The sequence below is a fragment of the Homo sapiens genome, chromosome 12 (genome assembly GCF_000001405.40).
Source record: "Homo sapiens chromosome 12, GRCh38.p14 Primary Assembly".
NCBI lineage: Eukaryota > Metazoa > Chordata > Mammalia > Primates > Hominidae > Homo > Homo sapiens.
Window position 1 is genome coordinate 64,180,938 of NC_000012.12, and position 16,558 is coordinate 64,197,495.

General features: G+C 41.5%; 1 protein-coding gene across 3 annotated transcripts in view, besides 3 other annotated features; it reads right to left on the bottom strand.

Annotated features, from left to right (window-relative positions):
* Positions 216 to 1,415: an enhancer, noted in NCBI's record as "P300/CBP strongly-dependent group 1 enhancer chr12:64574933-64576132 (GRCh37/hg19 assembly coordinates)". NCBI's record gives its function as "activates an origin of replication core promoter dependent on BRD2, BRD4, P300/CBP, MED14 and CDK7 cofactors, with strong dependence on P300/CBP, by STARR-seq in HCT116 cells {active_cell/tissue: HCT116}" and the evidence as "EXISTENCE:reporter gene assay evidence [ECO:0000049][PMID:35650434]".
* Positions 5,379 to 16,558, bottom strand: part of KICS2 (KICSTOR subunit 2) — a 35,981-nt gene continuing 24,801 nt past the window's right edge. For 2 of the 3 annotated variants that reach the window (NM_001300941.2, NM_152440.5), the window contains exon 3: positions 10,143 to 13,721. In NM_001300941.2, the coding sequence (NP_001287870.2) occupies positions 12,905 to 13,721 (817 nt within the window). In that variant the 3' untranslated portion in view covers positions 10,143 to 12,904. Of the gene's footprint in view, positions 6,716 to 10,142; positions 13,722 to 16,558 lie in introns of those variants that run through there. The other variant, NM_001300940.2, reaches the window with a different exon arrangement.
* Positions 13,193 to 13,612: an enhancer, noted in NCBI's record as "active region_6586". NCBI's record gives its function as "activates an Ori minimal core promoter by ATAC-STARR-seq in GM12878 lymphoblastoid cells {active_cell/tissue: GM12878}" and the evidence as "EXISTENCE:reporter gene assay evidence [ECO:0000049][PMID:35858748]".
* Positions 14,892 to 15,487: an enhancer, noted in NCBI's record as "NANOG-H3K27ac-H3K4me1 hESC enhancer chr12:64589609-64590204 (GRCh37/hg19 assembly coordinates)". NCBI's record gives its function as "activates a minimal SCP1, AML or CMV promoter by ChIP-STARR-seq in naive H9 embryonic stem cells {active_cell/tissue: H9 hESC(naive)}" and the evidence as "EXISTENCE:reporter gene assay evidence [ECO:0000049][PMID:30033119]".

Genomic DNA, 16,558 nt, shown 5'->3' on the forward strand with positions numbered 1-16,558 from the left:
TTATCTAATAGCCCAAAGTGAAGAAAGAACTGACTATGAAAATGGGACGAATATGAGAGTGCTGTGAAAATTCAGCAGTGACTAAAACAGAAGAATCAAACATGACTCCAAAGTCTGAAGAGAAGGCGACTGGGACAAGAGTCATACTAAGAAAGAATTAAGGATGCCAAGTGGAGCAAGTCTGGCAAAGGAAAGTGCTGAGTTGCCTACAGGATATCCGGGTGAAAACATCCAGCAGTTATTTATCCGCCTGGGACAGTACTGACCTTTAAGACTTACTGTATCTCCTGAATAGCCTATTTGGACTTCATCAAGAGCTTTTCCCAAACAGGGATTTTTATCTTGCGGGCCCATGGACTCATGGGGAGTCCCATGAACCTCCCAAATTATTAAAGAAAATTTTATTTGTGTTCATGGACATTTGGGGAGAGGTATGTACTTTCATTACAAACTCAAGGAGCACGAAACTCCCTTTTCCCTCACAAAAATGTTAATACTCTCCATTCATCCTTCTAAACACTCCAAGCAAGGTAAGCCCTCTTGTCTGAAAATTTGGGGAGGGAGCATGAGTCTCAGAACAAACAGAAAATGCCTCAGGAACAAAGCAGCAGCAGCAGTTACAGTCATGCGTGGATGGTTCTGAGTCAGGAGAAGCTCACTGCACAGTCACCAGATGAGGAAGGCATTTGGAATGTCTTGGTTAAAACTCACTGGAAATGACAGAAGAGTTTCTGACTCATTTCTTGAACCAATTCTTGCCTGAATACCTGTCTCTACAAGAGCAGTCATTAATGCCCCAACCTTAAACAGTAAAAATTGTCATTTTTATAAACATCATACTGCTCAACTTCCCACTGTCCAAAGAAGCTGAGCTGCACGGGTTGTCCCAGGATGGAAAAGAAGCCACAGCCAAGAAGCTGTGTCTTGCTTTAGTGTTGCCATCTACTGGCTGGTGCTCACTGACTCTCATTCCCAATCTTTTCACTGCCAAAGGAAAGATTTTGCAATTAGGCTGCTTTTTTTATCCAGAGCCTCTCTAGACAGTTCAGTCCCCAAGAGGTCAAAAAAAAAAAGTTTTTTTTAACAGAAACCTACCAGCTCCAAAAAAAAAGTAAGGCAAGACCAAATGTCAACAATGTTACTAGGAAGCTTCAGCACTGACTAACAGAGTTTATGGTGAATGCTCCCTAAATGTTAGCCCCACATAATTAAGACAAAAGATGCTTTTAATGTGTTGTATATGAAGTGATTATGAATAAGCAGAGGTTTGTGCCCACAGAATGGAATAGGGATATAACAGCATTGAAAATTGTTATTGTTGTTGTTGTTTCGTTAAAAGTAATTCTCTTTGCTAGGCTGTGTGTAGAAAGTGGTTATCCTGGTAAGCTTAATAAACATAGTGCCGGGGATTCTGGCTGAATAGCTGAGAGTTAGAATTGAATGGGTTCTCACATACCCCATGGAGGCAGGAAGCAAGGACCAGGTTCCCCAAGTGAGGACTTTGTTGCTCTTATTGAACTACAATGAAAGGGTCTTGTACACTTACTTCATAAGCCCATGGCACTGACCAGAACAGCAAAGATTCTTTATTTCCGAATGCCATAGTAACTCTTTTCACTATTCTTTCGTGTGTGTGTGACAGTACTCACTCTGTCACTCAGGCTGGAGTGGCATGATCTTGGCTCATAGCAGCCTCCATCTACCAGGCTTAGGTGATCCTCCCACCTCAGCCTCCTGACTAGCTGGAACTTACAGGCACATGCCACCACACCCAGCAAAATTTTTTTTCTTGTATTTTTTGTAGAGATGGGGTCTCACCGTGTTGTCCAGACTGGTCTCAAACTCCTGGGCTGAAGTGATCTGCCACCCTCAGCCTTCCAAAGTGCTGGGATTACAGGCATGAGCCATGCCTGGCCTCTCTTCACTCTTCTTGTGTTCACTTCCTCCTTCCCTGGTTTTTTGTTTTTATTACTTTTCTTCCTTTCCTCTTTATGAACTGTCTAACCCCACATCTACCTTCCACCTCATCATACTGGCACAAACTAAGAGCTAAAAGGAAAAGAGAGTTGCACTTAATTCTCCTCATTCATATGCTTTTCCCTTCTTTTCCTTTTTGCTTTTTAATCCAGCAAAGCACCTTATCTTTCACTCACGTTCACATTAAAATTTAGAAGACTGATCATGTTTGGCCTTTCCGTCCAATATCACCTTCCTATAAAATCAATACATATGGGTGATAAACGTAAGTCACAACCACCATCTTATGCATCAGCAAGCCCGCAGCACGTAATACAATTAAAGACTTTTTTGTTGATTAATGAAAGGAGAGGTTGCTAATCCTTTCCTCCTATAACTTAAGGAACAGAAGGAGGAAGAAAGAATATAGTGCCCTTAGATGTCAATTGTCCCTCCTCCCTCCTTTGCGGTCAGGACCCCTCAAAAAAAAAAAATTCGCTCAAGGAGTTATTGAAGGTTTCAAAGAGGAGAGAGGAGAGGTTTACATTGTAACCTCACAACTGACACCCTGAGAGACCTCCCCCTATGCATTCTCCACCTGCTTTGCTGTAGTGCATCTAAGGGTCTATTTAATTCTACTAGGCTGAGTTGAGCCTCTTGGCTCCTCTCTCTATCACACCCAGCCATCTCTTCCCCCTGAACCATATTCTTTCTCCAGGGAAGGAAAAATGAAAGCCTTGCAGGTAATAAGGCCAATCCTACTCCAAGTATCTCCTCAAAGTATTTTCTCTAAACATTTAATACTTTCCCTAAGAATTTTCTTACCAGCTGTTAAGTAGTTGACATTTTTTCAATATTGTTACAATTCCCACCTGTAAAGTTTGATAAATCTATACGATTTTTTTTTAAAGCTAGATATCTCTTCAGGTGCTGGTGGTCCCCCTTCCTTGGAAGTTAATTCCCTGAGGACAGAGACAAAAAACTTATCTTCCTCTCCTCAATGTCATTCATCCATCCTTTTAAAATCAAGCAAGACTATAGGGGCTCAACTTTAATAACATAAAACATTATTGCTCCTGGAGATCTGTGTTGGTTTTCAAACTAAAAATGACATTTAATAAATACTATAAGAAGCACTTTCTCAAGCTTTCCAAGGACAACTATACTTGCTAGACTAGATAGTTACATTCACAAAAACTGGCCTTGTTATTAAAAAACATAGTAGGAAAAAATATGCAAATAAGTCACTTTGTCTGTATAAATGGTTTACTGTGGAACTGAATGATTCCACATCAACTTAGCCGTATATAATTTGGTCAAAAACTTTAACTGGAATGTCCAGGCCTTGGCCAATGGGAGCTTAAAATGAGGTCACATTTATTTGCTAATATCCATTAGGAAAATGTCAACTCCCCATTCTGCTTAATTACAGGAATTCCAGGCTCTTGACAAATTCCTCTGCTTACTATTTCTGGAAATCAGGACTCCAATCCAGTTGTCTGCTGCCTCCGCCACTCATCTGCCTCCTGACCACATTCCCTGTACACAGGCTGACAGGGGCTCTGTGGCATACCACCTTTGGCAATTCCTGGACTCAACCTTCCTCCTGCTACTGCTGCCCTCCCCTAAAAGAAGGCAGAAAACCCTCTTTTAATTCTTTGATCACATTGCTCAGCCCATCCACAACTTTTAGCAAAAACTTCTTGGAAAGTTCAGGAAAATAGAAGGGGGCATTATGGCATCAATATCTCAAAGCTGTACTGTATGTGGTGATTCCCAGAGAACAGCAGTTCAGATGTACCTCATGTCCCTTCAAGCTGGGATTCTACTGAGATATGGAAATATTATTCAAAAGATATGAGAATAGAGATCATTTTAAGAAAATCAATTTTTAGGAAATCAATTTCAGATTCCTCAACTTCCATATGAACTCTCTCCTAAGAACCTGTGAAAGTGCTTTTAGTAAACTAAGCTTTTTCTACCTTCTCCTTTAATAACTGCCTTTCTCTTACCAAAAAATAAACTTACCTCTCACCCATACGTTTACCATAGCGTATTAGGAGACCATTTTCCATGGGTTTTTTCATGTTCTGCAGGTCTTGAGAGTAAGGCATCAACTGCCCTTAGTTCTGCACTATCTCTACAGGTTTCAGTGGGAAGATGGCTCTGCCATCACCATGTCAGACTTCTAGCCTGCAGAACTGAGAGACAATACATTTCTGTTGCTTTAAACCATCCAATTTTTGGTATTTTGTTATGGGAGCTCTAGGAAACCAACACACTTACTGGCTGGAATAGGAATGTCTCCCTCTGGAGCAAAGGGAAGGCATGCTTACAAACCATTATAAAAGATTGGGGGACGGGCACGGTGGCTCACACCTGTAATTCTAGCACTTTGGGAGGCCGAGGCGGGCGGATCACGAGGTCAGGATATCAAGACCATCCTGGCTAACACGGTGAAACCCCGTCTCTACTAAAAATACAAAAAAATTAGCCGAGCATGGTGGCAGGCACCTGTAGTCCCAGCTACTCGTGAGGCTGAGGCAGGAGAATGGCATGAACCCGGGAGGCGGAGCTTGCAGTGAGCCGAGATCACGCCACTGCACTCCAGCCTGGGCGACAGAGTGAGACTCTGTCTCAAAAAAAAAAAAAATTGGGTTTCCAAAGATCAGAATTCTCACATGCATGTGAGCAGGCATCCATCTGGGCCCATCCACATTGGCCCTGATAGAACTGAAGCTTAAGAAATCAAAAATGCAAAAATGATGTTATCCAGCCCCTGCTATTACTAGAATAACTGTCTTGTGTCTTCTGTCCACATCTGTGAAACTATGTCAGGGAAAGTTGTTAGCTAGCAAATACGGTAAAATTGCAAATCCTTCCCAGTTTTTAACATGGGGTATTATTATCATAGGGTGTAAAAATATCTGTCCAACAAACAAAAGAACATTTAGACAATTTCTTTAACCAAATCACTGTAATATTATACCTATTCAAATTTCAATGTATTTCAAATTAAATATAACTTTTTTTTTTTTTGTCTTTTGAGACAGAGTCTCGCTCTGTCACCCAGGCTGGAGTGCAGGAGTGTGATCTCATCTCACTGCAACCTCTGCCTCCCAGGTTCAAGCGATTCTCCTTCCTTAGCCTCTCGAGTAGCTGGGATTACATGCGCCCACCACCATGCCCGGGTAATTTTTTGTATTTTTAGTAGAGACCGGTTTTACCATGTTGGCCAGGCTGGTCTTGAACTCCTGACCTCAAGTGATCCACCACCTCGGCCTCTCAAAGTGCTGGGATTACAGGCGTGAGCCACCGCACCCAGCCAAATGTAATTTTTTAAGTTTAATATTTATTAAAATGTCATTTGGTCATTAAACTCTTAGAGCCTATGGTAACACAAAAAACACTTACATCTATAATATACTGAGTAATATTTAATAAGGTAACCAATAAGACTGTTAAGCAAAAAATAAATTCATTTTAGGATAAAATTCTTCAGAAGAAGAAGAATGGAGTTCAGGGAGCAAAAGGAATCAAACAATATTTCCAACTGTTACAAAGCGTGTTAAAGTATTTTTAAAAATGGAAAATGGTAGCTATCAAAACTCTATTGTACCAACATTTCACTGGATACATTTAAAAGACCGAATAACATTTTAAAATGCCAATATTTACAATACATAATAAAATGCTTCTTTTGAGGCTATTTAAACATAATGATTTTAGATATTCTTTTAAAAAATCAATCAGAGTCTCATGGTTTTTCCAAAATTTGTAGGGAGGTATGCAAGTAACAAGTTTGAAGACTATTCACTGCCTACTTGTTACAGCCCTTTCAGCTCCTGGCCACCCGGGTGGCTGGGGCCAGGTCACCTTATTTCAAGCATCAACCAAGCAGACACCATGTTGGTCTTGGTTAACTGCTATATCATTACCCTTAACATAGTTGATGTTAAATTAATGAATGTTGAATATTAGAAATCATTCACCTCTTTCCATCCACTTCTGCTTCAGGGACTGCTCTGACACTGGCCTAGCCTGAAATGACTGACATCAGGATGACCCTGGGGGGTAAAGGGTGTGCCCTACATTGTCGTATCTTGTCATAACAAAAGTGAAATGAGTCTAGACCTAAGCTGGATCAACCGGCTGAGTCATAAATCTCAGACTGAATCAGGCATTAGATTTACAAATTTAACTGGATTGTAGAATTACTCTACAGTTTTTAGGACCAGCAAAAGCAGAATTCACTCTCTAGGGACAAAGTTAGCAAAAGTCCCAATGACTGTCTTCCTTTCCTAGATCAATGTCAAGCGCCATCCTCCGTTTTCCGGCCATTCTCGCCGCACGTCTAAGCAGTCATCTTTCAGGATGCAGTCCCATGTCATTGCCTCTTGTGACCCTCTCCTGAGTGCTACCATCACTTAGAACCCTAACCCCAGATTCTGACATTAGGAGGGACTACAGAAGGGGGAACCCATTTGCATCTCTCCATTTTCTAGTGGTGATATTTTACACATACCCTACGGTTTTAAATTTGAAGTACCCTAGAAACAGACCTTGTTATCAAAAGCAGATTGAAAAAATATGCAGACAAGGCATTAATGAAACCTTACGGATTTACACCATATCAAGAGAAGTCTCCAAAGGCAGAAATGCACATCAAGCCTATTTCTTCTGACTCATTTCCTCTGGAGAAGCAGCTTAGAATAATTCAGGCAAAAGGCCACGAAATAATTGCATTGGTAACAGGAACCTGGTAGAAAAGTAGAGAGGGAATTGCTAAATTAAATTAAACCTACAGGGCTTTTGTGGGGAGTCACATAGCATGTTTTTTGTTTCTCACTTAGGAGAAAAAAAATCTAGTTTTCTTACATTTTTACTTGAAAAAAATCAGAGGCTACTTTAATGCTTTTATACAATAATTAGTGCAAATACACTAAAAGTGATCTTTTACATAATAATAATAAATAACATGGTAAAAATACACTTGAAAAGATTTTAGTTTTGAGTAACTTTTCCTGCCAAATAACCTGCCAAATACATACAGCAATGCTTGGCCGCAGTTGGCCAAAGGCCTTGTGTGTTCATGAAGTGGCTAGGATTAATTGTGGTCACCCTATTAGTATCAACACTGACCTTTCCCCCTCTATGTATTCCTTCCTCGCTGCCTGAAAAAAAGTAACTGGTTATAAAAACAATCAAAATGAATACTTTCAGATGCTGTTTCCCAAAACTGGGTCAGAGACTACTGGTGTATGTCCTGGATCTCAGAGGCATGGGAAGAAAGGTGGCTAAAGCAGAAGCTATGAGAAAGAAATCAGAAACTAAGGTAAGAGAGGATGGGGCTGGGCACAGTGGCTCACGTCTGTAATCCCAGCACTTGGGAGGCCTAGGTGGGCAGATCACCTGAGGTCAGGAGTTTGAGACCAGCCTGGCCAACATGGTGAAACCCCGTCTCCACTAAACATACAAAAATTAGCCGGGCATGGTGGCGCATGCCTGTAATCCCAGCTACTCATGAGGCTGAGGCACGAGAATTGCTTGAACCAGGAGGCAGAGGTTGCAGTGAGCAGAGATTGTGCCGCTGCACTCCAGCCTGGGTGACAGAGAAGAAAAAGGTAAGAGGATGGGAGGGAGAGAAGGAAGGAAAAGAGAGAGGAAAAGAAGGAAAGAGGGAGGAAGAGAGATAGAGGGAGAGGGAGAGGGAGAGGAAAAAATGTGGAGGAAAATAAATAATCAACAGTAATTAAGAGAGAAAATTAACCATGAGGAAGGAATAAAGGAAAGTCATAATATTTACCAAAAAAAATCTTGTGGTCAGGGAGAAAACGGCTGCTTTATTTCAAATTCAGGGTTAAACCTAAGAGTCAGAAATCCTTATAAATTCATATACATTTCTTTTAAAACTCCCCATTGTCTGGAAGATGCTAAGGAACTAAATATGTTAAGAACTAGTAAAAATAAATAAATAAAGGCCAGGCACGGTGACTCATGCCTGTAATCCCAGCACTTTGGGAGGCTGAGGCAAGCAGATCATGAGGTCAAGAGATGGAGACCATCCTGGCCAACATAGTGAAACCCCAACTCTACTAAAAATACAAAAATTAGCTGGGCATGGTGGCACGTGCCTGTAGTCCCAGCTACTCAGGAGGCTGAGGCAGGAGAATCACTTGAACCCTGGAGGCGGAGGTTGTGGTGAGCCGAGATCGTGCCATTGCACTCCAGCCTGGGCAACAAGAGCGAGCAAAACTCCATCCCAAAAAATAAATAAATAAATAAAATAAAGAAAAGCAAAAGAATCAAGGATTTATCCATCCATTCCATATGAACTGTACTTCAAGGTACTAAATAGTTGGAGGTGAATTTCTCTTTGTAGATGTATTCTGGCTAATAATGAGAAAAGGAATAACAATTAGAATATTACCATTTTGTAACCTCTAATGATATAATCTATCTAGGCAATGCCAGTTGTTAGCTGCTTCCTAATAAAATATACAACACCACTACACAAAGAAAAGCTGAATCTGATTAAACATCTTGCTCTAACTTCCAATATAAAGGGGGAAAAAAGGATGAAAAACAAGTGATAGTTCAAGGATACTGTCATCAAAATCCTGACTGTAAAAACCTTACACGAGAAGTAAACTAAACATTCCCATCAAAAGGCAGAGATTGTTGTTCTTTTTAATCTGTCTTATCTCCTTAGTTCTGTCTATAGACACTTCAAATACAAAGATATAAATAAGTAAGTTAAAAATGAGAACATGGAAAACACACACACACACACACCACAGACAGTAAGCATAAGAAAGCTGGAAGGGCCATAAAAACACTGGGCAAAATGGACTTTGGAGTAAGCAGTAGCAGTGGAGATAAAGCAGGAAACTTCATAATGATAAAATGGTGAATACAAGAGAAATAAAAACTATAAATGTATATGGGCCTAATGACAGGGCTCCAAAATACAGGATGGAAAAACTGACAGAAATAAAGGAAGAAAATCACAAATCCACAAGCAGTGCTGGAGATTTTAAAATACCTCGCTCAGTAATTGATAGAGTAACCAAAGGAAAAAAAAAGAAATCATAATATAGGAGAACTAAAATGATGCTATCAACCAACCATAAAAATTTGGGAACAAAAAACCACAAAGATTCTAAAATAGGAAGAGTGGGTAGGTTGGTTAGGCATTTATCTGCCTCCTCTTCTAAACCAGTTCTCTTTCAAACATAATAACTAGGTACAGGTTTGCCACAGAATTGAAGAGAAAGAAAAGAACAGGAAAGGTGCCAAATTTAAGGAAAGAGTGGTCCATCTTTTATTTATATAGCCTTCAAATTCCAGAAAGTTTCCAAAGCCTTTGTTACACACATGATCTCATTCCATCCTAACAGTAACCTTTGAAAAAGCAACCCACATTTCCTTAGCCCCATTTTACAGACAAGGAAGTTGAGCTCAGAGGCTGATTTGCCAAACAAACAAAATTGTGAGTCTGCTTCTAGATCAAAAGGGTGGACATTCACCTGAAGGAATTCCCTGGGAAAGTAGTGAAGTACCAATTATTTTCTTTCTAGAAAGTACATTTTCTGCTGGACACAGTGGCTCACACCTGTATTCCCACTTGGGAAGCTAAAGAGGGAGGATCACTTGAGCCCAGGATTTCGAGACCAGCCTGAGCAACATAGTGCGACCCTATCTCTAAAATATTTTTTTAAAATTAGCCAGGCATGGTCCTAGCTACTCGGGAGGCTGAGGCAAGAGGACTGTTGAGCCTAGGAGTTCAAAGCTGCAGAGAGCTATGATCATGCCACTGTACTCCAGCCTGGGCGACAGACCTTGCCTTTTCAAAAAAAAAAAGAAAGAAAGAAAGAAAAGAAAAGTATTTGGACACATTTCTCCCAATATGTCCAAATATCCAAAGCAATTATATCAAGGGTATTGGCTCCTTGGTTAAGAACTGGGCTTTATTTTCACACACTCCCTGAAATGACACAGCCAGAGATCAGGTAGGACCCAGAGAGAACAAAGTTACAAACCCTGTGTCCAAACAGCATCCTAAAATGAAATACTCCTGGATGGAACCCTTGGAAAACTCAGTGTTGACCATATTCCCAGTTACCCATAAAAACTTATCAAGTTGTGGTTTAGAAACAGATTCAAAGAAAGCAGTCTGCAGAAAATACGCAGATTTACTCTTTTAATTAGCAAAACACAGACTTTACAGATCTCATTACTATATTTAGAGAATAAATCTTAGAGTAAAATGACTTTGTTTCTTGGCTTGAACCAAATTATGTGGAGTTTTTATAATTAGAAAACTTTATTGAAGAGCTTCAGAAATAATTTAAGTATCAATATTCAATCTTCAAAAACTCTTCCAGTACAGTCTATGACAGCTGCACAGTAATACATATTGTCTTAGATTTTCTTAATATTCACATCTGCCTTCTGTTCTTTGAAATTCTTTTTGTGTTTATGTTTAAAAATAGATATACAATTCAAATATGTTCTAGGTGAGGACTGGTTATTTAAATAACATATATATGCTTTACTTACACCTCTCTCGGGGTTCCACTGAAGTATATATTCTTCTAGGTATTTGGGGGACTGTGTCATTAAGGCTAATGGTGGTTTAATCTAAGAGGAAAAAAATACATGCATACCAAGGAATATTTTTCAGTTTCTTGGCAGAACACAATAGAGAGGAAAAGTGATTTGACTTTTTAGCTCCAATTGCTTTCAATTTCTTAGGTAAGGTCAATGTTGTAAAATCTGCTGAGACTTTTTTTATAGAACCTGAGTGAATAAAATGCAGAGGTAAATCACTACTTTCTATTTAAAGCAAACTAGCTTTTTACAAAGCTTATGACCATTTTTAAAGAAAAAGAAAGGAGGCCAGGTGCAGTGGCACATGCTTATAAACCCAGTGCTTTGGGAGGCCGAGGCGGGAGGCTCATGTGAGTCCAGGAGTTTGAGTCCAGCCCGAGCAACATAGTGAGACCCAGGTGTGATGGCTCATGCCTGTAATCCCACCTACTCGGGATGCTGATGTGGGAGGATCACTTGAGCCCAGGAGGTTGAGGCTGCAGTGAGTTGTGATTGTGCCACTGTACTCCAGCCTGGAAAACAGACAAGACCCTGTCTCAAAAAAAAAAAAAAAAAAAAAGGAAAAACACATGTTCTTCCCAGAAAATAAAAAATAGGCCAGTAGATTCTTGGTTCTTCTTCTTCTTTTTTTTTTTTTGAGACAGGTCTCGCTCTTTCACCCAGGCTGGAGTGCAGCTGCACAGTCTCAGCTCACTGCATCCTCCACCTCCCAGGTTCAAGCAATTCTCCTGCCTCAGCCTCCAGAGTAACTGGGATTACAGTCACCCGTCACTACAACCGGCCAACTTTTGTATTTTTAGTAGAGATGGGGTTTCACCATGTTGGCCACGCTGATCTCGAACTCCTGACCTCAAGTGATCCACGCGTCTCAGCCTCCCAAAGTACTGGGATTACAGGCGTGTGCCACCGTGCCTGGCCGGTTCTTCTTTCTTCTGCCAGGCAGTCCACCCTAGGTGGGCAGGCTTCCTACATGGACTCTGAGGGGCTCTCTGGTCTCTGCTGATGTTGCTGGCATACCTGCTGTGGACACCCAGTAAAACAGTGGCTCCACACAATCATGGGAAAAAAGACGAATATGACCATTACATTTCACACAAGCTTCAAAGGAACCATCAAACCAGTAACAACTCAATTACTCTTTGTGGCTTCTTTTTATTTTGAATCAATAATCTAGAAGTGAAGGTCTCCACAGCCCATTATGCCTTCACTGATCCACCTACTTCCCATGAACACCTGCCGAAGGAAAGAAATAAGGCAGCATGTGCTAAGATGCAGTGCTGCTTCTAAACATAATTTGTGGGGGGCAGGCATGAAACCCAAGTTCAGAAGTGCTTAAGTACTGAGGTGATTACTCAACTATGAAGAGGTCTTTCAAGCGCACAGTTGATTTTTAGCAAGTACAGCGTATGAAGACCTTCATTTTGATTTTATAAAAGTAGGCTATGTTGCATGAGTATCTAAAAGTGGCTGAAAAACCGACTGCATGCTTTTAAGCCTAAAAATAACCAAGGAGTAGAGCCAAACATGTACATTTCAGCAGAAAAGTGATAAACAGAAAGCGAAGCGGATAATATGCTGAAGAATGAAGAAAGCCCACATGATGGCTTATGCTGACTTTACAACAGAGTGAAACATTCAAACATTAAAGAAGTCAAAACAAATGCAGTTAGGTGTGTACATTACCCCAAAAGAACCCATGGCTATTAAAGCTGCCATGAGGATCTTCTGAACTGTTAAAACCTTACGTCATGCTACCAATCTGACTCACTTTCAGTTTCAATAACTGATAGAAATTTCTTACCAAGACCCTAATTTTGGCATCAAAAATGTTAATTTGTAGATCAGAATCATAAATCTACTAACTCCATATTCATTTGCTAATTTATGAGACAGAAAACATATAGTTCTTAATTCTAAAAAGGCCATTTAATATCTCATCCCTATTACTCTTCCAAGAAGGAGGGAAACAGAGAGGCTGTTTGGAATTGCAGTAGAACACAATGTTTAGAACAACAGAAAAACATATGGGAAAAAAAAAAGCCCAATAAATATTCAATCTACAAGAAATATAGCAAAATAGGGGAAAATACTGAAACTACTTTGCTGTACCATGGAGACACATGGTAGCCCATGACCACTTCCTAGATTACTCTTTGGAAACTTAATTCAATTGGCCTTAATTGCTTATAAAGTGTGCAACACAGGGAGGATTTGTCTTTAATTTAGTTCTGAAAGAGGCATGAATGGATGTAAACTCTATTCACAGACCACCGTAGATCATTAGGGCAATTAAGAACAGTTTCTAGTCTTGAAACCCCTCCACGCAAATCACCTGCTAACCTTTGGCTCCAGGTTTCAGACTTGCAAACACTTTGGGGTTCTTAAGGGCAAGTGAGACCTCATTGAGGAAGGAAATAAAGTGGGAGTCTCTCTCAGATTTCTTTGACTCAAAAATGATGACAATGGTAAAGTGAGGTTCCGGGCGGGTTAGGAAGTAGGTACTCTGAACTTTGTCATCATAGAAGTGGACCACTTTCTCCAAGCTGTTCAGATCAGATGTGCGGTCCGTCATGATCATGATGACATTGGGCCAGTGCATGACTGGCCTGTCGCTGGGCAGAGACACTACAGCTGGATACTGGTCCACACCCTTGGGGGCCTCTCTGTAGGAATGGGGGTGGTGATAACCATGACCCTGAAAACTCTCAGAACCTCTGTTGTCAAAAATTAAGGACACATTGGCAGCATCATATTTTCTGATGAAGCTGGAAATCTTTCCAAAAAAGTCTGGGTTAGCTTTTGCTGTCAACGTTTTCATTTCTGAAGCAGTCGTTTGTCGGCTCAGAGCCTCATGAAAGTAAAAGCTAAACTTGGCAAGAAGCATGTTTTTGAGTTTCATCAGCCAAAGGAAAAGGTGTGGAGGCTGCACGGCCTTCTGAGACTGCCCTCCAAACAGATGTTTCTTGGTCTCCCGCTGTTTCTCAAAGATCTGGCCCCACGTCTGCAGTTTGGTGTGCGCACTGTGTAAATTAACCAGAGATGGGAGGAACTTCCACTCTGAGACCTGGGCCTGGGCTTTCAGGAGATGACACAGGACGTCAACTTCCAGCTGGAAACTGCTTTCCAAAGGACTGAGGATTGGGTGGTGAAATCTAAAGGGGAGAGGGAAATAGAGATAAGTGGAAATGTTACTTCACTTGCCACACTGACATTTTTCTAACCACAAAGCAACAAAATGGCCAAACATAATATTATGCTTCAGGACAGGGGAAGAAAAGATGGAGGAACTACATGTTGATTTATTTTAAAATTCTGATATAATTTCACCATTTCAAAATTATGTCAACATCATATTCTCCTGTGGAAATAGCCTGAGAGTAGTGGCCACTTTTCCTTTCAACAACAGGAATACCAAATTAGCTACAATTCATTTTTTTTTTTTTATTTATTTATTTTAGACTGGTTCTTGCTCTGTCACCCAGGCTGGAGTGCAATTGTACAATCATGGCTCACTGCAGCTCAGTTCCTGGGCTCAAGTGAGCCTCTTGCCTTAGCATCCCAAGCAGCTGAGAACATAGGCACACACTCCATTTTCTGTAGAGACAAGGTCTCCCTATGTTGCCCAGGCTGGTTTCAAACTCTAAGTGATCTTCCCACCTTGGCCTTCCAAAGCGCTGGGATTACAGGTGTGGGCCACCATGCCTGGCCTAAATTAGGTATAATTCTTTCTGAGTGTATTTTATTTATTCTGGCAATTGTATGACTAAAACAATCATTGAAACAAGGCATGCTCTTTTCAGAGTGTGGTCCTAAAGAGGCAGAGGTAAAACAAAAAAAGTCACTAAAACATCTGTTGAATGTGTAGATGACACATATAAACTCATTTAATGTTCACAGTAATGCTATGAGGTATTAAGCCTATCTTGCAGATGACAGTACCTACTATAAGCTTATATGGAAAACACAGTAGATAAAATAAATGTTTATTAAAGAAATAGAGCATTTATCAGACAGCCCTTATTCAATCCTGGTTCCCAAATTCCCTTCATATTAATTATAGTTAAAAACAAAATGGTGTGGGGAGGGAGGAGCCAAGATGGCCGAATAGGAACAGCTCCGGTCTACAGCTCCCAGCATGAGCAACGCAGAAGACGGGTGATTTCTGCATTTCCATCTGAGGTACCGGGTTCATCTCACTAGGGAGTGCCAGACAGTGGGCGCAGGCCAGTGGGTGCACGCACCGTGCGCGAGCCGAAGCAGGGCGAGGCATTGCCTCACCTGGGAAGCGCAAGGGGTCAGGGAGTTCCCTTTCCGAGTCAAAGAAAGGGGTGACGGACGCACCTGGAAAATCGGGTCACTCCCACCCGAATACTGCGCTTTTCTGACTGACTTAAAAAACGGCGCACCACGAGATTATATCCCACACCTGGCTTGGAGGGTCCTATGCCCACGGAATCTCGCTGATTGCTAGCACAGCAGTCTGAGATCAAACTGCAAGGCGGCAGCGAGGCTGGGGGAGGGGCGCCCGCCATTGCCCAGGCTTGATTAGGTAAACAAAGCAGCGGGCAGCTCCAACTGGGTGGAGCCCACCACAGCTCAAGGAGGCCTGCCTGCCTCTGTAGGCTCCACCTCTGGGGGCAGGGCACAGACACACAAAAAGACAGCAGTAACCTCTGCAGACTTAAATGTCCCTGTCTGACAGCTTTGAAGAGAGCAGTGGCTCTCCCAGCACGCAGCTGGAGATCTGAGAACCGGCAGACTGCCTCCTCAAGTGGGTTCCTGACCCCTGACCCCCGAGCAGCCTAACTGGGAGGCACCCCCCAGCAGGGGCAGACTGACACCTCACACGGCAGGGTATTCCAACAGACCTGCAGCTGAGGGTCCTGTCTGTTAGAAGGAAAACTAACAAACAGAAAGGACATCCACACCGAAAACCCATCTGTACATCACCATCATCAAAGACCAAAAGTAGATAAAACCACAACGATGGGGAAAAAACAGAACAGAAAAACTGGAAACTCTAAAACGCAGAGCGTCTCTCCTCCTCCAAAGGAACACAGTTCCTCACCAGCAATGGAACAAAGCTGGATGGAGAATGACTTTGACGAGCTGAGAGAAGAAGGCTTCAGACGATCAAATTACTCTGAGCTACGGGAGGACATTCAAACCAAAGGCAAAGAAGTTGAAAACTTTGAAAAAAATTTAGAAGAATGTATAACTAGAATAACCAATACAGAGAAGTGCTTAAAGGAGCTGATGGAGCTGAAAACCAAGGCTCGAGAACTACGTGAAGAATGCAGAAGCCTCAGGAGCCGATGCAATCAACTGGAAGAAAGGGTATCAGCGATGGAAGATGAAATGAATGAAATGAAGCGAGAAGGGAAGTTTAGAGAAAAACGAATAAAAAGAAATCAGCAAAGCCTCCAAGAAATATGGGACTATGTGAAAAGACCAAATCTACGTCTGATTGGTGTACCTGAAAGTGATGGGGAGAATGGAACCAAGTTGGAAAACACTCTGCAGGATATTATCCAGGAGAACTTCCCCAATCTAGCAAGGCAGGCCAACGTTCAGATTCAGAAAATACAGAGAACGCCACAAAGATACTCCTCGAGAAGAGCAACTCCAAGACACATAATTGTCAGATTCACCAAAGTTGAAATGAAGGAAAAAATGTTAAGGGCAGCCAGAGAGAAAGGTCGGGTTACCCTCAAAGGGAAGCCCATCAGACTAACAGCGGATCTCTCATCAGAAACCCTACAAGCCAGAAGAGAGTGGGGGCCAATATTCAACATTCTTAAAGAAAAGAATTTTCAACCCAGAATTTCATATCCAGCCAAACTAAGCTTCATAAGTGAAGGAGAAATAAAATACTTTACAGACAAGCAAATGCTGAGAGATTTTGTCACCACCAGGCCTGCCCTAAAAGAGCTCCTGAAGGAAGCACTAAACATGGAAAGGAACAACCAGTACCAGCCGCTGCAAAATC